The sequence below is a fragment of the Homo sapiens genome, chromosome 22 (assembly GCF_000001405.40).
Source record: "Homo sapiens chromosome 22, GRCh38.p14 Primary Assembly".
Taxonomy (NCBI): Eukaryota; Metazoa; Chordata; class Mammalia; order Primates; family Hominidae; genus Homo; species Homo sapiens.
Window position 1 is genome coordinate 16,854,650 of NC_000022.11, and position 25,088 is coordinate 16,879,737.

At 39.7% G+C, this 25,088-nt stretch overlaps 2 pseudogenes; both read right to left on the reverse strand.

The window, feature by feature from the left end:
* Positions 1 to 2,288: 2,288 nt before the first annotated feature.
* ZNF402P (zinc finger protein 402, pseudogene) lies at positions 2,289 to 6,082 on the reverse strand (annotated as a pseudogene).
* Positions 21,569 to 21,724, reverse strand: MTND1P17 (MT-ND1 pseudogene 17; annotated as a pseudogene).

Sequence of the window (25,088 nt, forward strand, 5' to 3'; positions counted from 1 at the left end):
CTCCTCATGATAAAAAACCCTCAACAAATTAGACATCAAAGGAGTATACCTCAAAATAATGAGTTATCTATGACAAATTCACAGCCAAGCTCATACTGAACTGGCAAAAGCTGGATTCATTCCCCTTAAGAATCAGAACAAGACAAGGTTGCCCATTCTCACTATTCTGGCTCAACATAGTACTGGTAGTCATAGCATAGCAGTTATGCAAGAGAAAGAAAAAGAGGAAATTCAAATAGGAAAAGAATAAGTCAAATTATCTCTCTTCATAGATGATATTACTCAATACCTAGAAAAACTTAAAAGACTACCAAAAATTCCAACAACTAATACATAACTTCAGTAAAATTTCAGAATATATAATCAATGTACAAAAGTCAGTAGCAGTTGTATACACCAAAAACGTCCAAGCTGAGAGCCAAATCAAGAATGCTATCCCATTTATAATGACCACACAAAAAAAATACCTAGGAATATATCTAACCAAGGAGGTGAAAGAACTCCACAAGAATAACAAAAATTTCTGCTGAATAAAATCACAGATGACACAAACAAATGGAAAAACATTCCATGTTCGTGGATGGGAAGAATGAGTATCATTAAAATGGCCATACCACCCAAAGCAATCTCTAGATTTAACACTATTCCTATTAAATTACCAATGTTGTTTTTCACAGAATTAGGAAAAAAAACTACTCTAAAATCCATATGGAATGAAAAAATGAGCAGGAATCACCAAAGCAATCCTAAGCCAAAAAAAAAAAAAAGAAAAAGAAAAAAGAAGCCAGAGACATCACACTATCCAACTTTAAACTATATTGCAAGGCTACATAACCAAAACACTACAGTACTGGTACAAAAACAGATACATAGACCAGTGGGACAGAATAGAGAACCTAGAAATAAAGTCACACACCTACAACCAAGTGAACATCCATGAAGCTGACAAAAATAAGCAATAGGGAAAGAACTCTCTATTCAATAAATAGTGCTGGGATAACTGCCTATCCATAGGCAGAATGAAACTGGCTACTGTTCACTGCTCTGTGTCTTCTGTTCCTAGAAGCCCAGTCTCTATGGCCCTGTGACCAGCAGGTATTGGGAGATCCATAGCTAAGACACCAGAGCCTGCTGCAAGCCTAGAAATGGAACGGTTGACATTCAGGGATGTAGCCATAGAATTCTCTCCAGAGGGGTGGCAATGCCTGGGCACTGCACAGCAGAATTTGTATTAAAATCTGATGTTAGAGAACTACAGAAACCTGGTCTCTCTGGCTTTGTGTTCTCATTTCACCCAAGATTATTGACCAGAGCAGGGCATAAAAGATTCATTCCAAAAAGTAGTACTAAGTAGATATGGAAAATATAGACATAAGAATTTACAATTAATGAAAGGCTGTAAGAGTGTGGATGAGGGTAAGATGCAGAAAGGAGGTTATAATGAACTTAGCCAATGATTTTCAACTACATAGAACAAAAAATTTTTTCAAATGTCCCACGTTTATTTACATATGAAATGTGTTTCATACAGTTATGATGGATGGAGTGTATAACACCTGACAGCAGCAAGACCTTTCGAGGAACTGAACATTGACTACAGTATATCATGCAAGTACCTACATATATACACAAAAGAATTCCTTTTCTTAAAAAAAAAAGTACAAAACATGTTCAGGGATAAATACAAGATATAAGATGCAAAAGAAAACACAAGACGAAACCAAAAAATATAACTCTCTCAGAGAACTATAAACAGAAGGGACAGAAGAGTACCTCTACTGCATTTTAGTAAAGCAGAACTACCAACATTAAATATACCTCTTGAAATGGCTGAACTAATCCCATGTGGCTCAGTGCTTAAGGTAACGGCCAATTGCGATACACAGCCGGCTGCATTGATAAGTCGGTGGTTGACGTCGTGCATCCCAACTCTAAGCACCAGAACGTTTGGCAGTAACACCCAGAACAGGAAACGCCAACTCTTTTGAAAACAAAGGATTAAGTCAGCTGATTTTTTTTTCTATCAAGAGCCAGAGAAATACTTGATATTCTTAGTTGTGTTTCTGTAATAGTTAATAAATTACATGACAAAAACCTGACTATGTAGATCTATTGGTCTAACTACGTATTTGTAACTTTTATAGTAGTCCAGCCGTTTTGTTACTTTCCCTCCTTGTGCTCCTAAAGCCAGCCTTGCAGATCTGCCCAGAAAACCAGTCCCATTCTTTTTTTCTTTAGAATAACCTTCCCCATTCCTCAAAATGGAATTGAGGAAATCAGCATTCCTTATTAGATTCCTGGCTTCAGTTTTTATCCACGGCTGGGAAAGGAGCGACCTGCAAGGCTGCTTTAAACACCCTTCGGCGTGGCCTGAAGACAAAGGCGCGCCCACGCTGGAGTGCAGTTGTCTCAAACGTGCACTCACTCCCTCGGGGCAGGCACATCCAGAAGGTGCTAAGACATTTAGAAGTTCCTAGTGTTTTTGAGACCCACAATTACTTCCAATTTATGTAGTGAATTTTAAAAATTAAAAACACTAAAAAAGGCATTATTTTAGCCTGTAATTAGTTAAGCCATTCAAATTTGAAACATACAAAATGATTTATTTGAATTCAGGAACTGCCCCTGTTCCTAAGAACTCTGTTTTAAAGAAACAGGACAAAAAGAAAAATTCTAACCCAAAACAACTCAAAACGTTTTCCACTGAATACTGATACAAACATGTAACAAAGAGTATAAAAAGTTATTCACTTAAATATATACAAACTCTTTTAAACTCAAATTCTGTTTTAATACTTAATGAGGATATATATGACAAGATGAAGAAGGAAGGCACATTGAAAGAGAATATATAGCAACAGCCTAGACAGTACTGTTAACTCTATTATACTGCAAACTTAGTGTAACAAAAGTGTCTTTTTTATCCCAATGTGGACAGGGATTTTCCTCATGGAGCGTCTGTGACTATTTCTCGTCTGAGCTCATCCTTTTGGATTTGATGAAGGCCATACCATGTGTCTGCATGTGAGTGTTTAAGGCAGCTTTAGTTTCAAAAGTTTTTGCACACACTTTGCACTTTCTGTCTGACATGACGCCATTGGGAGATTCGTCCTCGTGGCTGGGTTTGTTCTCCTGTTGGTTATCTTCCCCAGCCCCATTTTGCTTGGGCACTGGCTGAGGTTCCTTTAACTTGTGTACAACAAAGAGGTGCCTGGACAGAGAGACGTGAGACATGTAGCAGAGGCCACACTCCCAGCACTGGTAGGAAGAACCATCCTATTTGTGCTGAGGGATGTGTTCGTGGAACTGCAGCAGGTTTTCGGTGGTGAAGCAACACAAGGCACACTTGTGAACCTTAAAAACATTGATTTTCAGCTTTTTCAGTGGTTGAGTTATTGCTCCTCTGGGAGGCCTGTACTCCAGAACCGGTTCTTTCAACTTCCACTTGGGACTGCGGACCTTGGCGTCTACTTTTATTTCTGTTTCCTCCTCATTGGTGGTGTCTGTCATTTCTTTCAGGTCAAGGTCTTTGATGCCATGCATCAGCTGGACATGCTTCTCCAGCATCAACCCTTTGGTAAAAGTACCTCTGGAGTCTGGGCAGTGTGAGCAGGCATACACTTTCCTGATGCCTTTGTGCTTGATCCGGTTGTGCCAGCACAGTCTGTGGGATGAGCTGAAAGGCTTGTCACACTGGCGGCAGGGGTGTTTCTTCATTTGCTTCCCATGCTCCTTCCTCAGGTGGGATATGTACACATCTCTCTGCATGAACAGGTGGTCACACTCCCAACACGTCCACCCAGGACTGGCCACTTTCTTGGTTTCCATTGATTTTTTTTCAAAGGAGATGGAGATTTCTTTTCCGGTTTCTCTTTCCCACTCATGGATTTGCTGTCCTCTTTTTTCTGATATGCTGAATTATAAGTTGCAGGCTTAAAGCTCAAAAGCAAGTTTACACCCAAGTTGGCCCTTCAATACTTTTCAATGTCCCATGCATAGACTTGATATGGTCCATCATAAGTTGCTTCTGTACGTATAAAAGAGAACAGTCCAGACACTTGAAAACAGATATTTTCTGGTTTTCAATATGTTAGTCAAAGTGGCGATACAGCAAGGCTTGCAGGGTGAACACAGTGTTGCACATGGAACACTTATATATTATTTTTGGTTCTCCTATCTTGATGCCAGGATGCTGTGTTAAGTGCTTGGGGCGGACTTAAACACCATTGGACAAATAGGACACTTGTAGAAGACTTCACAGTGAGAACCTTGAATGCGAGACTTCAGAGCAGCCACATCAGAGTTCACAACATTGCAATGTACACGTCAAAAACCAACTCTCCTTGTGTAGTGTAGACAGTTCTTGGTGACATGGGTCTGGAAGTGCACCAACCTGCAGATGGCCCTGCACTCAGGGCAGGTGTAGGGAGATTTGTGCTGATGGATTCTCTGCACTGGTTAGGAAGCAGCATCTGGCAGATAGTACAAGTCTTTTGTCCACTCATATCTGCAGCCTGCTGGAAATGTGTAGCCAGGGATCTCTTGTCCTGGAAGATTTCATTACACTTCAAACATTTTAGATTATGTCTACACAGTTTGGAGGGGTCTTCATCTAGGGGCATGGCTGTGGTGCTGGGAGTGCTTGAAGGAGCCGATATGACTGTCCCAGTTATGCCAGACTGAATTTTTGTGACAGTGTGTATGCCAGTTCCCACAGGGCTCTGAAGAGTGGAAGATGAAGAAGAACTATTGCTCGATGGAGAAACTATGATATGACCTGCTGAGACTGGCTTTAAAATTGAGTAGGAACATTGCATTACCACCCCCTTCTCCTTATGCCCACGGGCTTGGGAAAGGAGGTTGCATTTGTTGTAAACAATGAGGTTCTTTGTACAATGGTTGCACGTTACTTCGATGCACATGCTCCATCTGTTGTAGTGCTGGGTCAGACTCTTCAAGTGCAAAGGAGTCCCTACACTCCAAGCACTTGTACCCATGCATCAGTAATGTGATCCCTGCATTGGCAGGAGGACTGAGGTTTAGGATGTAAACAGGGACTGGATTGACACTGCTCAGCACCTTGTTGAAAGTTTCCACCACAGAATTCTGCAAGGACGACACCACCTGGACTCGAGACACCTTTTTGGGGGGTTGTGAGGCTGCTGCATTGATTAGTGCCTTCTTTATTTGTTGCTGAGTTTTGGTTAGCACTTGGTGGAGTTCAGAGGTGGCCTGGGCACCCTAAGCCAGAAGGTTAAGGTTGGCAAGGTGCACAGTCTTTGGCACAAGTTTGGCATTGGCCAGGCTGGATGCTGGCATCATGACAGCTTGCTCCTGTATAGCATTGGCAGCTTTAATGATGATGCTGCTGGCACTCTGGACAGAGGCAGCAGGTATGACCGTGGCTTTCACCGTGGTGTTGTTAGCAAGCTTCAAATTAATGACTTGGGATCCTGCTGTCTTCACAGCAGACACTGGGAGGAAAGCAGTAGCCACAGGCTTGATTGTGACCTGTTTAGGGGTGGGCTCTGCAGGGAAAACTGCATTGGTCACCACTGCAGACTGGAGAGGCACCCTGGGGGGAGAGGAAAGGGCAGCGGCTGATGCTGGAGATGACAGAAGGGATGTCACAGAGGCCATCACAGACACCATCTGCTCGGAAGGTTTCTTCCCAGAGTCAAGATCCACTTCTGGAAATACCCTGGTCTCTGTTCTCTTGATTTCCCCAGAAGATGTCTTAATGGTTTTTATGCGGACTTTGGGGATTGCTGTTGTGGATCCTGCAGGAGAGGACGGGGTTCCCTTGCTGCTGTTGTCACTTGAGATGTTTCTGGGACTGTCTGGTTGCTTTAGGGATGGTTTTTTTGTCCCATCGATGAGATTCTGGGATTCAGGAGACTTGGTGGCGGCTCTCGGACTGTCGTTTACTTCTTTTGGTGACGGGGAGGATTCCCTCGAATTGGCCACTTGTTCTTTGGAGGAGTCTGAAGCCGCCTTTTTAGTTCTGAGAGCTGCAATGGCAGCAATGCAGGATGAGAAGTTGGAGGACAACTTTGTCTTGATGGTGCAATGCCGAGGAGGCCAAGAATTTCATACACGGTCAAACAAACTTCATAAGCAAAGGAGAAGATACTTTTCAGACAAGCAAATGTTAAGGGAATTTATCACCACCAGACCTGCCTTAAAAGAGGTCTCTAAGGGAGTGTTAAATATAGAAACAAGCCAGGCGCAGTGGCTCACGCCTGTAATCCCAGCACTTCAGGAGGCTGAGGCAGGTGGATCACTTGAGCCCAGGAGTTCAAAACCAGACTGGGCAACATGGTGAAACCCCGTCTCTACAAAAAATATAAAAATTAGCTAGGAATGGTGTTATGCGCCTGTGGTCCCACCCACTCAGGAGACCAAGGCAGGAGGATGGCTTGAGTCCAGGAAGCAGAGGTTGCAATCAGCCCACATCATACCACTGTACTCTGCCTGGGCAGCAGAGTGAGATCCTGTCTCAAAATAAAATAAAATAAATATGAGAACAAAAGACCATTACCAACCACCATAAAAACACACTTAAGTACATAGACCATTAACACTATAAAGCAACTACAAAATCAAATCTAGTCTGCATAATAACCAGCTGAAAAAAATATAAGGACAGGATCAATTCTGTACATAGAATTTTTAACTTTGAAAGTAAATGGGCTAAATGCCCCAATTGAAATGCACAGAGTGGCACATTGAATAAAGAAGCAAGACCCACTTGGGTGCAGTGGCTCATGTCTGTAATCCCAGCACTTTGTGAGACCAAGGTGGGCAGATCGCTTAAGCCCAGGTGTTCGAGACCAGCCTGGGCAACATGGGAAAACCTCATCTCTATAAAAAATGTAAAATTAGTCAGACATGGTGGCATGCGCTTGTAGTCCCAGCTACTCCAGAATTTGAAGTGTAACGATCACCTGAACTCAAGAGGTTGAGGCTGCAGGAAGCCATAATTGTGCCACTGCATTCCAGCATGGGTGAAAGAGACAGATCAGTCTCAAAAAATTAAAACAAACAAACAAACAAGACCCAACTGTATGCCATCTTCAAGAGACCCATCTCACAAATGCAATGACACAGATAGGCTCAAAGTAATAGGATGGAGGAAAACTTACCAAGCAAACAGAAAATAAAAACAAAACAAACAAAAAAATAGCAGGGGCTGTTATTCTAATTTCAAACAAAACAGACTTTAAGTCAACAACAATCAAAAAACTACAAAGAAGGGCATTACATAAGGGTAAAGTGTTCAATTCAACAAGAAGACTTAACTCTTCTAAATATATATGCATCCAACACAAGAATTATGTGTGTACCCAGGGAGCACCAGGGAGCACCCAGATTCATAAAAACAAATTCTTAGAGACCTGTGAGGAGACTTAAATTCCCACACAATCATAGTGGGAGACTTCAACACTCCACTGACAGTATTAGACAGATCATCGAGGCAGAAAACTAAAAAATATATGTGGGACCTGAACTCAACACTTGACCAAATGGAACTAACAGACATCTACAAAATTCTCCACCCCAAAACAACAGAATATATATTCTTCTCATCACCACATGGTGCATACTCTAAAACCGACCACATAATCAGACAAAAAACAATTCTCAACAAATTTTTAAAAATTGAAATCATACCAATTATGCTCTCAAACCACAGCACAATAAAAATAGAAGGGAATACGAAGAAGATTGCTCAAAACCATAAAATTACATGGAAATTGAACAACCTGCTCTTGAATGACTGCTAGGTAAATAATGAAATTAAGGCAGAAATAAGCTTCAAAACCAAAGAAAAAAAGATAAGATATACCAGAATCTCTGTGACACAGCTAAAGCAGTGTTAAGGGGAAAGTTTATAGCATTAAAAGCTCACATCAAAAAGTTAGAAAGATCTCCAATTAACAACATAGCATCACACCTAGAAGAAGAACTAGGAAAACAAGATCAAACCAACCATAAAACTAGAAGAAGGCAAGAAATAACCAAAATCAGAGCTGAACTGAAATAAAGTGAGGCATGAAAAAACATACAGAAGATCAATAAACCACAAGTTTTTTAAAGACTAAATAAGATAGATAGAACACTAACTAGACAAACAGCAGAAGAAAGAGAGAATATCCAAATAAACACAATCAAAATTGACAAAGGAAACATTATCAATGACCCTACAGAAATACAAAAGACTCTGAGACCATTATGAACACCTCTAGACACACAAACTAGAAAACCTACAAAATGTGGAAAAATTCCTGAAAACACAGCTGCCCAAAATTGAACCAGGAAGAAACTGAAACCCTGAACAGACTAATAATGAGTTCTGAAATTGAATCAGTAATAAAATAGTTTCCATCTAATTTTATGATTTTGAGCAAGAAAAAGCCCAGGATCAGATGAATTCACAGCCAAATTCTACCAGACGTATAAAGAAGAGCTGCTGCTATCCCTACTTGAAACTATTCCAAACAATTGAGGAGCAGAGACTCCTCACTAACTCATTCTATGAGGCAAGCATCATTCTGATACCAAAGCCTGGCAGAGACACAACAAAGAAAAAACTACAGGCCAATATCCTTGATGAACACAGATGCAAAAATCCTTAACAAAATACTAGCAAACTGAATCTACCAGCACATCAAAAAGCTAATCCACCTTAATCAAGCAGGGTTTATCCCTGGGATAAACAAGCAAGGTTGGTTCAACATATGCAAATCAATAAATGTGACTTATCACATAAACAGAACTAAAAACAAAAACCACATGATCATCTCAATAGATACAGAAAAGACTTTTGATAAAATTCAACATCCCTTTATGTTAAAAACCCTTAATAAACTAGGTATTGAAGGAACATACCTCAAAATAATAAGAGCCATTTATGACAAACCCACAGCCAACATCACACTGAACAGGCAGAAGCTGGGTTCATTCCACTTGAGAACTGGAACAAGACAAGGATACCCACTGCCATCACTCCTATTCAACACAGTACTAGAAATCCTAGCCAGAGCAATCAGGCAAGAGAAAGAAGTTAAAGCATCCAAATAGGAAGACAGGAAGTCAAACTATCTCTGTTTGCAGATAACATGATTTTATACCTAGAAAACCCCATAGTCTCTGCCTAAAAGCTCCTAGATCTAATAAACAACTTCAGCAAAGTTTCAGGATACAACATCAAGGTACATAAATCAGCAGTATTTCTATACACCAACAATATCCAAGCTGAGTGCCAAATCAAGAATGCAATTTAATTCACAATAGACACATACACACACAAAAATACCAAGGAATAAAGGGAACCAGGGAGGTGAAAGATCTCTACAACAAGAAAACAATAATTACAAAGCACTGCTGAAAGAAATCAGAGCTGACCCAAACAAATGGAAAAACATTCCATGCTCAAGAATAGGAAGAATCAATATTGTTAAAATTGCCATATACTATCAAAAGCAATCCCCAGATTCAGTGTTATTCCTATCAAACTACCAATGTCATTTTTCACAGAATTAGAAAAAAAAACCTATTCTAAAATTTATAAAGAACTCAGAAAGAGCACAAATCACCAAAGCAATCCTAAGCAAAAAGAACAAAGCAGGAGGCATCACACTACCTCACTTCAAACTATACTATAAGGCTACAGTAACCAAAACAGCATGGTGTTTGTACAAAAACAGACACATAGACCATTAGAACAGGATAAAGAACCCAGAAATAAAGCCACACATCTACAGCTAACTGATCTTTGACAAAGGTGACAAAAATAAGCAATAGGAAAAGGACTTCCTATTCAATAAATGATTCTAGGATAACTGGCTATGTAGATGCCAGAATGAAACTGGACCCCTACTTATCACCATATACAAAAAGTAACTCAAGAGGGATTAAAGACTTAAATGTAAGACCTCGAACTATAAAAACTCCCGGCACTTTGGGAGACCAAGGCAGGTGGATCGCCTGAGCTCAGGAGTTCAAGACCAGCCTGGGCAACATGGTGAAACTCCGTGTTTACCAAAAAAAATACGAAGAATTAGCTGGGCGTTGTGGCACATGTGCCTGTGGTCCCAGCTATTCAGAAGGCTGAGGTGGGAAGATTGTTTGAGCCTGGGAGGTGGAGATTGCAGTGAGTCAAAATCTCACCACTGCACTCCAGCCTAAGGGACAGAATGAGACCCCACTCAAAAAAGAAAAAAAAATTCTGGAACTAGAGAGTGTTAAGAATGTCCTAAATGTCAGTGAATGATACACTTTAAAGAGCTTAATCTTACATAAATTTTTCCTCAATTTAGAAACTTTTTCAAATTCTTGAAAAAAAAAACTATGCAACATTTAAATATATACATAAACATAAATATATACTATAAACATTTATAGCATACATATGTAATCTCTCTGCCATTTTGGGCTACCTTACAAATAAGGCAGAAGCAAACACATAAAAATTAAATATACATATATATATACATATACACACACACATAAATATGCATATTTATAAATTTAGAAATAGAGAACATAGCTGACTATTCAAGGAAATATATATTTATGAGCATATAAATATATAGGTAACATACATAAATATATTTAATATAGAAATTTACACATATGTATGTAGCACTCTGCCACTCTGGCATACTTCGCTCATACAGGTGTCCTAAAGCAGCCTCCATACTTATTTTAAGTTTGGCCTAATGAGTTCTGTATACATAGCTAGTTGTAACCTAACTTAATGTGTAAAAATAACTGTAACTTAACCCAAGACTATAGTCTTATAACATGTAACTATGTCTTAGCCAATGAAAACAGCTGAGCCTTCAGCCAATCAGAGGCTGAAAGCTGCCAAAACATGACTATATGAGGTAAATGCCAACAGCAGCCAATCAGGCTGTTTCTGTGCACTTCTTTTTCTCTAGCTGTAAATGTAACCTGCACAAATGGTGGCATGGAGTGTTCTGAGCCATTTTTGGTGCAAACTGCTGCCTGATTCCTAAACGGTTTCTTTGCTCAAATAAACTCTGCTAAATTTAGCATATGTAAAGGTTTTTTTTAACAGATTAGTGTAGGAAATGCAATCTGAAGTAGAACGTCCATCAAACCCCAGAAGCATGGAGTGCCCAAGCACAGCGACCCACCAGGTCCATTGTGCACACAGATCTCTCACAGCAGCAGGGGTCCTGGGCAAGTTCTCTCTCAAATTTTGAAGCTCCAAGGATTTGTGTTTTGAGCTATGCATTTGTTTACCTTTGTAAGGGTTTTTATTTTTATTTTTTTATCCAGACTGGGTTTCGAAGTTGATTCTGAAATAATAAATAAAAGCTAAGTTTCATTTATTTATTTTATTTTATTTATTTAGTTTAAAGTAAATTTGTTGTAATTTTGTCTTTTGAGAGTTCTGGCAAGCTGGATGGGATCCACCTCCCAAGACCCCTTGAGGAATTCAGGAAAGACACTGCTGGCCCCTTTGCCCTCCTTCTGAGGTTGTACATTCCTCTTAGGCCAGACTCTGCTGTTTTTGCATTGAACCTTGATCCTTTTGGGTTTCGAATCCAGGGTTTTGTGCTATGAGAGGGCAAATAACCTTGGGGTGGGTGCCAGTGGCCAGTTTGTGCTGTGAGATGACATATGGCCTTTTGAGGTTTGGGTAGCTGATGAGTCATTGGTAAAAACTTGACTCAGTCCAGCATCAAATTGGATTTGATTGGTGAACTGTATTGGATCGACGTAAGAGGTCACTCAGTCTGATGATCAGATGGCAACTGGACTGGGTTCAGTAGATAGATAAGTTTGGCCTCCCTAAAGATAACCTAGAATTACAGTGGTGACAGTGGGGAAACACTTACAAAGGTAAACAGGTGCATGTCCTCCCAGTTACAACAACTGCAGGGATTGGGAGTACTTCTACTTGTGCATGCAAACTAAACACCCCTGTGCCCTAAGATGTCTGCCTTTTTTGCAAATAGCCAGGCCACTGGAAAAAGAATAGTCCACTTTTACAGCAGCCATCTCACGGGTCATCCCTTTGGCCTGGACTCTTTCCCCCCTAAGGGAAGCCCCCAAAGGCGTCGCTCTTGGGACAACTATGAACTAATCTAATTAGCCCTCCCTGTTCTTTCTCTCTCTCTCTCTTTGATCCTGCTTCTCCCATGGGAACCCCTCAGTTGACTGAAACCACTCTTTTCAAACGCTTGCTGCCACTTCTTTCTTATTGTCATGAACTTTGCTATGTCCCCAAAGTCTTACTAAGGGAAAATAAGCCTTTCTGACTTAATTTCCTGGTTGAGAAGAGAAGGGTGGCCAGTAGCCAGGCTAGTGATAGAATTAATTAAATATGCTACCGAATTGATTAATTCCTACAGTGTTAAAAGAGAAGCACTAACAACGCCAGTGACCATGTAACACGGATTTAAGCTACAAGTCATAGAACTGTGATGAGAAGCCTCAGCGCTGTAAAACAGAGGGTGGAGGAAAGCTTTTCCTCTCTCAAATGAGCTTTGCCGGGTATACTTCTTGAAGAATAGGAAGTTGAAGTGTTCAGGACTTTTATGTCTATTCTACTTTGGCTTAGTTTACATAATTCTTAGTTTATTAGCCTAGAAATGGCCAAGAAAACTTAAGGCTCAATAATTAGTTATAAATATGAAATATCCCCAATTTTTCAGATAAAAACAACTTATAAATGTATTTGTCTGTAAAAATTGTCTATATTTTTACAGAACATCTATTTCTTTCTTTTTTAAATTTTTATATATATATTTTTTTTTATTATACTTTAAGTTCTAGGGTACACATGCACAATGTGCAGGTTTGTTGCATATGTATACATGTGCCATGTTGGTGTTCTGCACCCATTAACTCATCATTCATATTAGGCATATCTCCAAAATCGATCGCTCCCCCCTCCCCCCACCCCACAACTGGCCCCGGTGTGTGATGTTCCTCTTCCTGAGTCCAAGTGTTCTCATTGTTCAATTCCCACCTACGAGTGAGAACATGTGGTGTTTGGTTTTTTGTCCTTGCGGTAGTTTGCTGAGAATGATGGTTTCCAGCTTCATCCATGTCCCTACAAAGGACATGAACTCATCATTTTTTATGGATGCATAGTATTCCATGGTGTATATGTGCCACATTTTCTTCATCCAGTCTATCATTTTTGGACATTTGGGTTGGTTCCAAGTCTTTGCTATTGTGAATAGTGCCACAATAAACATACGTGTGCATGTGTCTTTATAGCAGCATGATTTATAGTCCTTTGGGTATATACCCAGTAGTGGGATGGCTGGGTCAAATGGTATTTCTAGTTCTAGATCCCTGAGGAATCGCCACACTGACTTCCACAATGGTTGAACTAGTTTACAGTCCCACCAACAGTGTGAAAGTGTTCCTATTTCTCCACATCCTCTCCAGCACCTGTTGTTTCCTGACTTTTTAATGATCGCCATTCTAACTGGTGTGAGATGGTATCTCATTGTGGTTTTGATTTGCATTTCTCTGATGGGTCTATTTCTTTAAAACAAAGGGAGGGGAGTCTCTCATTTACATTAGTTTTTTTCATAGCCTTTTGGACTTTGCAATTTCTATGTTTTGGAACCTATTTCTTACAGTTTTTCTATGCTAAACTCTGTCCTGGTCAGTTCCAGAGTGTATGAAGAACCAAATGGTGTAATTGTATGCCACCTGGCTGTAGTGGAACAAGTTTGACTCTTAAGTATGCAGGCTCTAATTTTCCTGTCTGGTTTCGGTAAGTATTCCTTACATAGGTTTTTTCTTTGAAAATCTGGGTTTGAGAGGTTGATGAATGAAAATTAATCCTTTCACTTTGTTGTATATAGGTTTGCAATAATTAGGTCAGAGTGGAGTTTTAAGGTCACGAAGGGGGCTGATGACTTACAACTAATGGGCTCTGATTGGGCAACTACTCATCTGAGTTCCTTCCATTTGACCTAATTAAGCTTGTGAAATATACACTAAGCCATGAGCTCATCTTTAAAAAGTTTTATTAAAAGATTTTCAGCTGTTCCAAATGGGACTTATTAGTGGAATGTGTTTTAAAGGATCATATCAGATGAATGAAAGGTATTTGATCCTTTCTTTCCTTAATAATAAAATGATGGTTTGGAAAAATAGGCTACAGTCTAACCACAGTGCTATTATTAGGCTTTCTTGTTAAACATAGGTCTAAGCCTAAGTATGTCAATACAACCAATACTTACTGTTTCATTTCTAGTAATGAAAAAAAAAAGAAGTCTTTCTGGCATAAGGATGATTTTCATCTGGTTATTTTGAAACATTTTTGTAAAATAAGTTTACATCTATAAAGAACATTTTTATTTGTAAGGAGGGGTATGTCTCTGTGCACTGGAAGAGAGGGAGGACTAAATCACTGGGAAGTCTTATGATAAAGAAGCCATTGGCTTAAATCTGCAAAGCAAGCCATCCCTTGGTTTAAGGTGTTTTTCCTGGCCATCCTGTCTTGACTAGAACTTTACCTACACCTTCCTTTTTAGTTTAGGCAATTATAGTATCTAAACCTGAAGTCTCAGCTCTGTGTCTTTGAGATATAAATGTTCTACCATGTCTTCTCTGGAACCTGATAACTATCTATCTCTTTAAAATGCAAGTCTAGGGAGATGACTCATCAGAAAAAGAAGAAAAAAGAGGTATTTGGAAATTGTGCAAATTAAAGCAGCCCCTGATGCCAAAGTCTACACATTCCTGAGTGAGTCAGTTCTGGCCAGTTCTAGCTGGATCAAGAGAGCTCTGCTGGGCAGGCCTGAAGAGCAGCTGGATGGCAGACACCTGAGGAGCCAGGTGCCTGAAACTTCCTCCACCTTCTTGAGGAGCACCAAAGCCCAGGTGCTGGCTGGACAACCCCTTCTGGCTGCCTAAGCAGGTGGCAGAAGAAGGAAACAAGGTCAGAGGCAGAGTATTGAACCCTGCCTCCCAGGTGGGTGGAAGATGCCTGTCGCCAAACTAGGGCCCAGCTTGCCGGGTGAGGTGGGTGAACTGGTGATCCCCTGAGAGAGTGGACGTCAGAACTTCATGGTCCCAGACTTCACCTTGGCCAGCGAAGGAGAGAGAGTGTTAATGTTAACTGCAGGAGGCCCACTCTAGCCTTAAATTCTGTAATTCAAACCATTCCCTTGGAGACAAAACAAACATGACAAGGAATTCTGAGGTCAGGGGACAAGAATAGCAAGTTCCCTAGTGGGAGACTGAGGAGGCAGTGTCCTTTCTGCCCTTGGTCTACTGGCTAAGAACCTTCCTCAGCCTGACCTTTCCACGTTGCACTTTCAGCTCTGTTTGCAATTTTCCTCCTTTAGTGCTGAGGGAATCCCAGTGTTCGATTCTGAAATCTATACGTTCCTAATGGGTGGTTAAAAAAAACCTCAGCAAGAGAAGCAGAAAATGTTTCCTCTTCCTGAAAACTGTAGAAAGGCAGGCACCATTCTGGGTGGGACATGGTCCTTGCAAAAGTCTTTATTTATTTTTTTTCTTTTGAGATGAAGTTTTGCTCTTGTTGCCCAGACTGGAGTGCAGTGGTGTGATCTCTGCTCACTGCAACCTCTGCCTCCTGGGTTCAAGCAATTCTCCTACCTCAGCCTCCCAAGTAGCTGGAATTACAGGCACCTGCCACCACACCTGGCTAATTTTTTGTATTTGTAGTAGAGATGGAGTTTTGCCATGTTGGCCATGTTGGTCTCCAACTCCTGACCTCAAGTGAGCCACCCACTTCTGCCTCCCAAAGTGCTGGGATTATAGGCATGAGTCACTGTGCCCGGCCAAGATTCTGTTTTGATAGAACACTTGTGTCTCTCTCACCTTGTATTTAGGAAAGTTAGAAAGTAAAGGATAATGTATATAGAAAGCTTTTTGAAGACTCTTAAGAAGTTCATAAATATGGGGCACTATGACTATGCATATGAAAATATTTCCTGTCAGTTGGCAGTTACCACCTCTTATAGTGGCATGGAACCTCTTGAGTTAAACCAAGGCTCAGTGAGATTTGGTGATTTAGGTAGTGTCATTTTATGAACAAGGAGGACCCTACTCAGGTCTTTTATTTTATTATACTTCTCTTTGACATTCACTCCAGTTAAAGAACTCTTTCAAAAGACCTCATGACTGGTCTCACAGAGATTCAAAGGTGTTTGAGTCCTTCCTTATTATGCCCTTGGAAGATGCTTTGAGGACCCCAGTGATGAATCCCAAGTACTCTGTCTCCATTATCCCTGGTATAGGGCACCTCATCACTCTGGTGTTATCCCTGAAGGGCCTTCATAATAATGTGCTTAAAGAGTCCCCTATTATGTCCTTCAGGATGGAGCTTGACTTGCCCAAATTGCTATGTACATGTTAAAGAGAGGCTGGAACTGAAGTTGGTCATTTCTCACTGGATCAGTCAACAAGATTTGAGTACTTTCTGTGTGCTCTGCATCATTCTGAGTACTCTGGGGGACAGAATAAGGCATGGCTCCTGCCTTCAAGGAGTATGGAATTTAATAGAAGATGACAACATACATGATCATAAATCTATCTACATGAGAGTGCCTAATTGTGAGATTCCTAATAAACGGCAAGATATGTTCTGAAAATGTGAAACATAAATGAGGTTGAAGAAATTGTGAAAAGTTTAGCAGAGGAGGAATAATTCATCAGGTTCTTTAAATACAAGTAAAGGGGAAAGGAAGGACCATTTTTAAGTTTAGATATTCCAAGGGTTAGTGGTGAGGTTGATTATGGTATGTCTTCTCGTTGATGAGGGAGGAGACTGGCGAATAGTGGAAAATAAAGTTAAATAGCTAGGGTGGGGCCAAATTATGGGTTTTAATAAAAGCCAGGCATTGAAATTTAGATTGGGGTGGTAGAAAAAGGAAGGCTTTAAAAGTTTTTGAGCCAATGAATGACATCATACAAGTTCTATATAAACAGCAGTGATTTCAGGATGGGAGAGAATGGCATCAGGAAGACCCACTTGAATGCTGGTAAGTAATGTTACTAACAGTGCCATTAGTAACATTAATGTTACTAGGGCCTGGACTGATATGCTGATGGAAGTGAGAATGAAGAATAAGATGGGATGAAAGAGATTTTGACAAGAGTTTTTTAATGAACCTGAAACGGGAAAGGGCGAGAGTAACTAACCTGCTTGCCATGGACAGCAACGGGGTTGCTAGAAGATTAGCTGTGCGGAAAAAGTTATGCATTTACCTTTGGGCATAATGAAATGCAATTGACTCTCCATATTCATGGGTTCTGCATCCACTGATTCAAACAACTGTGGAACAAAATTGTCAGAAAAAATAATACAATGATAAAAAATGATACAAATAAAAAACAACATGGTATACCAACTATTTACATAGCATTTACATCGTATTAAGTGTTATTAAGTAATCTAGAGATGATTTAAAGTATATAGGAGGATGTGTGTAGGTTACATGCAAATACTACACTATTTTATACCAGTAACTTGAGCATCTATGGATTTTGGTATACAAGGGGGATCCTGGAACCAATTCCCCATGCATATCAAAGGATGACTGTATGAGTTATCTGTAAAATGGTTTGGTTGAAATGTTTAGAAAACAGCTAGAAATACAAGACTGGCTGTTGGATGAAAAAAACATAGGACTAGGAAATTCAGGTATGCTAGTCTATTTGAGTATTGCTTAAAGCCATGGGAAAAGAGCTTCTGTGAGTTCCAAGGCAGATACAAGGACTGGCATTCATGCACAGCTTCTAACAGATAAATCTGAAGAGTTCTTAGTATGCATGTTGACTGAAATTACTTTAGAAGTAATTTTTCTCCTGGTGATAAAAGGCATGTAAGGCTATTTTAGGAAATTGAAAAATGCAAAAAGGTATAAAGAAAAAGAAAAGATAATCATTAATAGTACGTTAGCAAACAAGATTTGACTAAAGATATGACTTTCCTCCCGCTTGTTTTCTTATGCATATAAAGGGATAGGAAATATGTATGTATGTATGTGTGTGTATAGGATCATGCACTATATATAGCTTGCTTCTTTTTCCATCATGATAATTTTCCCATGTCATGAATTACGGCTTGCAAGTGCTTATTCTTAAAGGGCTGCATTATTTTTCATTATTTGGATTTATTGTTATTTAATTGGAGCTCTATTATTGAACATTTAGATTGCTTCCAAAATTTTTTGCTCTTGTTAATATATTGTAATAAACTTCTGTGAAACACATACTCTTCACCTGCTACTTACATATGACTTCTGTAAGCAGAGACCTCTGTATCCCCAGGACCTAGAAGGTTACCTGGACATAGTAGTTGCTTAATTAAAAAAAATTATTGATTGAATGAAAGAAGACTATTAAATGTTCAGTTCTTCTTTTTTTATTCCGATTCCCTGTGTATCCAGGGGCCTCTTATTTGGCTGCATGTATGAGTTTGGCTGTAGTGAAAGTATATGACCATAAACAGGCATTCCTATTTCTGTCACAGTTATATTTGTCATTCTGTACTAATACATCTATATCCTGATTTCTATTGAAGCATGGTTATTTTTGTTTGCTTCTAAGCAATGTAGCTACCCTATTGATGATGATAAAAATAAATTTCTGAGCCTATAAGACTGAGGATTGGGCCTAGGTTTTGGTAAATTGGCAAGATAATGGATGCTACCCTGTCAAGAGCCCTCTGAAGAGAAAAGTCTGCCAACCTTCACCAGGTAGAAACTCCTGGCAGTGCCACATTTTCCAGTTTGATGCCCTGTGATACCCTGAAAAGACAGATGTTTTACTCTTTTCAAATAATATTTTAACATGTTTTAAGACGCAAAGGCATTGTGTCGGACTTTTTTCTTAAGAATATATTTCATTACCACTCAGAAGTTAGCTTCCAAAAGAAATAAGTGTGTGCAAATGTTTATGATAGTGGTGTAGAGAAGTTTTTAAAATAAATGTGCATCTTTTATGGTAATAAAAGCACATTATGAAGAATTTTTTAGGTCCAGTTCACAGATTCCTTGTGCCTGGGGAAAACTTTATTAGAAAATTAGATAATTTCTAATTTGATTAGGGGAAGTCTAATGGAAAAACTTTTTAACTGAGCGGTCCAATTCAAAACATGAATATCTGTGCTGGAAGCTTCTATTGAACTTTACTTAAGTCACATCTAAGACCCTCTGCCTGTCAGTCCACCATTACCCTAACAGTGGTAGAAATTCTTTATATGACACCCAGATCTTTTTTTGTTGCACTTTTAAGCTGTGTAGGAAACACACTGCCCACATGTTCATACAACACAGAGTGATTATCCACTTAGTTCCTAAAAAGTTGTATTTGGTTATGGGGTTTGATCCCACTTGTCCAGGGTTTAGGTCAGCTACTGAAGATTAGGATATCTGGGTACCTCTTACTGGAGAATCCATTCCTGTTTTCATTTCATTCCTGGGGGCAATATTCAATCTGGTGTGGCCCTCTGTATTATAAAATGTTTCCCAGATTGTGTTTATCTGAAATACAAATCCAAGAAGAAGCATGGTGTTAATTGCCGTGTAAAAAAAATTCCAGAGTCAAGAGCTTGAGAAGTTCTATTCCTTCCTTCATAGGTTCAGTTGTTTAACCCAGCATTTTTCAAACATATTTTACTCCTAGAACCTGTTTTTCCTCAGACATATTTCAGAAAAAAGCGTTTTGTAGAACACATTTGGACAAATGATACTTTATATCATTGCTTTGTTTTTTAAATTTTAGTTTGACTCAATTTTACAGTTTCAGGATTTTGTTTCTGTTTCACGTTTTAAGCTTTTCTTTTATAAATAGTTACTTTCCTAGTCTGAAATCTATACATTGTTTCAGTAATGAATTCATTATGTAAATTTGCCCATCATTCATCTAAAGGGAATAAACGTTAAATTGTTTTTTTAAATTTTGACTTGTGTCACATATGAGAATATAAAGTATATCTGTACAATAAAGGAAAATGAAACATCAAAGTATCTACCTCAGGTTAAGAAGCAGAACTTGGCCGGGCATGGTGGCTCACACCTGTAATCCCAGCACTTTGGGAGGCAGAAGTGGGAATATCACTTGAAGCCAGGAGTTGGAGACCAGCTTGTTCAATAAAGGAAGACCTCATCTCTAACAACAACCACAGCAGCAAAAAATTAGCCAGGCACGGTGGCACATGCTTATAGTCCCAGCTACTGGTGTAGCCTCGAACTCCTGGTCTCAAGCCATCTTCCCACCTCAGCCTCATGTTCTAGTGAACTTTGTTATGCAGTGTCTCCTATTCTACATGTGCAGGAGTATTTTTACAGTATGTACCTGGAGTGGAATTGCTTGGTCATTGGGCATGTGTGTGTTCAGCTCTATTGAGTGGCATCAAACTGTTCTCCAAAGCAGTTGTACCAATCTACACCCTCACCAGCAGTGAATAGTCTTCCCATTGTTCTTCCTCAATGAAACTAGATATTCACAGCCTTTTAGGTTTTTCCTAGAGTATGAAGTGGTATCTCTTTGGGGTTTTAATGTTTATTTCCCTGATTAGAATTGTAGTCGAGCATCTTTTATTATGTTTATGGGCCATTTATGTTTTCTCTTCTGTGAAATTCCTATTCGGGTTTTTTGCTCATTTTAAATGTTGTTGTTTGTGTTTTTCTTATATAGGAATTCTTCATGCATTCAAGATGCACGTATGTTGTTCAGAATAGTACCTGAGACATAGAAACAACTTTGTAAGAGTAGCTATCATTATATTACCATTGTATTTAATCCTTTGTTTTTATGTGTTAACAATTATCTTCTGCTAGTTTGTGGCTTATTTTTCATTCTGTGATGCTAATTTTTTAACCTAGTATTCTATTATTTTAAAAATACACAATCTTGAGTAGTCTATATATTCATAACCATGACATATTCATGTTGCGTATGTTCTGTGTCATAACCCAGAACTTTCTTTTTTTTTTTTTTTTTTGAGATGGAGTTTTGCTTTTGTCACCCAGGCTGCAGTGCAATGGCGTGATCTTGGCTCACTGCAACCTTTGCCTCCTGGGTTCAAGTGATTCTCCTGCCTCAGCCTCCCGAGTAGCTGGGATTACAGGCACCTGCCACCATGCCCAGCTAATTTTTGTATTTTTAGTAATGACGTTGTTTCTCCATGTTGGCCAGGCTGGTCTCGAAATCCTGACCTCAGGTTATCCACCACCTTGGCCTCCCAAAGTGTTGAGATTACAGGCATGAGCAGCTGCACCCGGCCAACTTTCAGTCTTAAGTACCATTTTTTGCTGCTGTTTCTTTTTTTGAACCCCAGGAAAAAATTAACTCATTACCCCTATTCAAACTGCTACAATTTTATTTTCAGTGTTGTCGCCTGGTTGTAGATGCATTGTGATTATTTCGAAGACAAAACATTTTTGGCATTGTGAGATATATATGTATATATGTATGTATATATATGTATATAATATATATTGTATAAATATTTATTTATATTTTAAATGTCATATAAAAATTTTATATATATATATATATATATATAAAGGCCACTTATCCCTAATATAGGGACTCGATTAGTTTCTGCTAGTGTGGAGACAAGTCATATCATGGCTAGGGGTCATGATGGTAGGAGCAGTCAGAGGATTTCTTGCATTGTGATGAGTGCATATAAGTTAAATGAGCCACTTATCAGTAGATTTGATAGCAGGATAACAGTTATATCACTGATACCTAGGCAGTACATGACACTCGGTAAAGAATAGATTAATCCTCATGCTCTTCATCTTCCTCCTAATCTCTTTACCTGTGCTGCCCTCCAGCTTTCAAAGTGCTCTGAGTCACCACTTACACTGTGTTCCTTAGCTGCCCCTTCAGTGGGCCAGTGTTTCTGTGCCCCAGTGTTCCTGAGAGTTAGAACACAGAAAACAGAGCAAGCTCTTGTCCACATCACAGAACATCTTTGTCTCCCTGTGGATCCCACACATTTGTTCATTAGAGCTCAGGAATTGCCAGAGACTGGCTTTTCTGGCAATGGACACTAGATTCTTCAGAGGAATATTGGTTGAAATCTTCCTGCTGTGACAGTTCCCTGCATGCAGGGCAGGAATATGTGCTTCTTCCCAGCAAAGGCAGAGGCAGGGCCTACAGAAACTGTGCCCGCAGCCTATAGTGATGGGGTCTATGAGGTAATTCAGGCAGATGAGGCAGGCGAGTTCTTTCTGGAAGGCTTGTGGGAAGTCTAAGTCCATTTTTCTGAGGGAAGGAAATCAGAAGAATTTATTCTTATGCCATAGAGAGACAAAGATCTACGCAAAGTTTGAATCAGGTTTTGAGTAGGATCTGCTCACAGGTTTAAATCTATAGCAGGATATGATTTTATTTTGCACATAACAAAAATGAAAAACTGAGGCACAGAATTCAAGCTTTGCAGAAAAATGTGTTGGCTCCCTAACCAACACACACACACATCTACTTTCCCAAATTCTTTCCTCCTGTATGAAAAAAACTTAAGGCTGGGCTCAGTGGCTCATGCTTGTAATCCAGCACTTTGGGAGGCTGAGGCAGCAGGATTGCTTGATCCAAGGAGTCCAAGACCAGCCTGGGCAAGATGATGAGACCCTGTCTCTACAAAAAGAAAAGGAGGAAAAAATTAGCTGAGCATGCCAATAGTCCCAGCTACTAGGGAGGCTGAGGTGAGAGGATTGCTTGAGCCCAGAAGGTCAAGGCGGCAGTGAGCCATAATCCAGCCACTACACTCTAGCCTGAATGACAGAGCAAGACTCTGTCTCAAAAATGAACAAAGAAAGAAAAGAAAGAAAGAGAGAGAGAGAGAGGGAGGGAAGGAGGAAGGAAGGAAGGAAGGAAGGAAGGAAGGAAGGAAGGAAGAAAAGGAAGGAAGGAAGTTTACAGAGTTTTTTGAGGTGTTAGTGTTCCCTAAATTGTATGGTCTTCAGAGGTTTACCCTCCTATAGCTTCAAGGGGTGAGTCCTGACTGGTAGGAAAATCAATCACACTCTTACTTGCCAGTGATTCATTTAGGGAAGACAGCTAACTAAGCTCTTCCACTTTGATTATTTCATTTAATTGTAACAACCATCTTATCATGACTTCTTCAAAATTACCCTGCCAGTAAGTGTTGGAGGACTCCCCAGAAGCAGAAACCACCATGCTTCCTGTATAGCCTACGGAACCGTGAGCCAACTAAAGGTGTTTCTCAGGTATTTCTTTATATCTTTGGCCAAAATTAAAGAGTTAGGCTTTACTCTCCAAGATACTGCAACAGATAAAAACGAGCCACCACTGTTTTCTAATGTTGTTTTCTTGTTAATTCAATCAACAAGTATTTTCTGGTAAGTTTAGTGTTCCAGAGACTGTTAACCTGGTGATGCACCGGTTAATGAAACATCCTTAAGAGAAATAAAAGTTGAAAAATAAGCCAGATGATAAAATGCAGTAGTGTACACAATGCCACTTATCCGCATGTCTTCTGTCTGTCACCCATGATCCGGAAAATGTCTTTAGTATAAGCCATTGATAAAGATGCCTGAAAAATGTATGTATAGAAGACATAGTCACAAAATTACTTTTTTCCTTTGATATCCCTTGTTACCTCAAACAGAATTTACCACTCCAATTCGATTTCTGAATACATGGGAGTTAATAGAATACTCCTAATCCATTTATAGGATCTGCACTAAGTACAAAAATTAAAGACATCTGAAAACTATTTGGTGAGTCCTTATAATCCATATCAATAATTATGGAATATATTAAGTAATAGACCAAAAATTAATCATCATATTAACCAAAAACACATAGCAAGACAAGATAACTAAATATTTTCATTTGGAAATTGGGAAATTTAGTCAATTTTAAAACTCAGCAAATGAGATCATTTCACAGAAGCAACCTAGGTTTGCTGGTAAATTAAAATTATGACATTTTGTTTTGGTTTGGGAGGGTAGTTCCTCTTCTGTAAATTGTGTACTCACATAAGAAATATATCTATGTTCTCACGGACACTTACTGTAGAGGTAATAATATGAAGTTAGCTCAGGGATCAGGGCCTCACAGTGCAGTGCTGGTAGCTTTTTTTTTTTTTTTTTTTTTTTTTTTTTTTTGCCCTGCACCTTGAGTAAAAGTTTCCTGAGGCCTCCCCGGAAGCAGAAACCACCATGCTTCCTGTATAGCCTATGGAACCGTGAGCCAACTAAAGGTACTTCTCATGTATTTCTTTATAGCAATGCAAGAACATACTAATACAGCTAAGCAGAGGCCATCAGGACCAGCAACAGTCTGAGCTGGATGAGAGACAAAGCTAAACTTTGAGCAGCAGCAGGAGCTGCCAGGGAGACAGAAAGGAAGGACAGACTCCTAAATTCCAGGATGTCTCCTTTAAGTCTGTAAGAAGCTCAGCCACCGTCTCCTTACCTGACTCCTTTGGGAAAGAGTTTCCCTAGGTTAAGCCATACAGGGATAGGGTAGGAGATGCCATTTGGATCTAGGAGCAGAGGGCAGAGACTCAGCAGGAAGAGTGTCTCTTTGAGAAGGAGACACAGTGGAACAGCTGTGTAGGTTCACAGGGCCAGCTGTGGGTAGAGTTGAGTGTACATTTTTAGAAGCCACAATTCCCAAAAATCTCCTGACTATAACATCAGTGCACGGAGCCAGTCAAATGGAGGAGGAGTGGGTCCAGGCAATTCAGGAAGAAGGAAAGTAACAAATGAGTGGTTGCAGGAGGACACCCTTTCTGTCGAGGTCACTAAACAAAACATTGTCTCCTCCCCTTAACTTCGGAAACAAGCAATGGAGGGTAAAAGTGTTGCCTGGGCCCTGGGGGCAAAGGCAGTAGATAACTTCTCTGTCGTGTTCTCCAGAAGGGCCCATTCCAGCCTCACAGGCCGAGAAGTCTGTTCGGTTCCCAAGTACTAGAGATGCTGCTATAAGGGACTCCCGAATTTCCTTCCTGAACCAGAGGCTGCCCAGCCTTTTCTTCCTGTTTTATTTTTTCCCAGGAAGAAACTTGCCTGTACAATTACAAGGTTCTACGGTTCTAAATTCCATTCTAGTCTTCCACATCATTT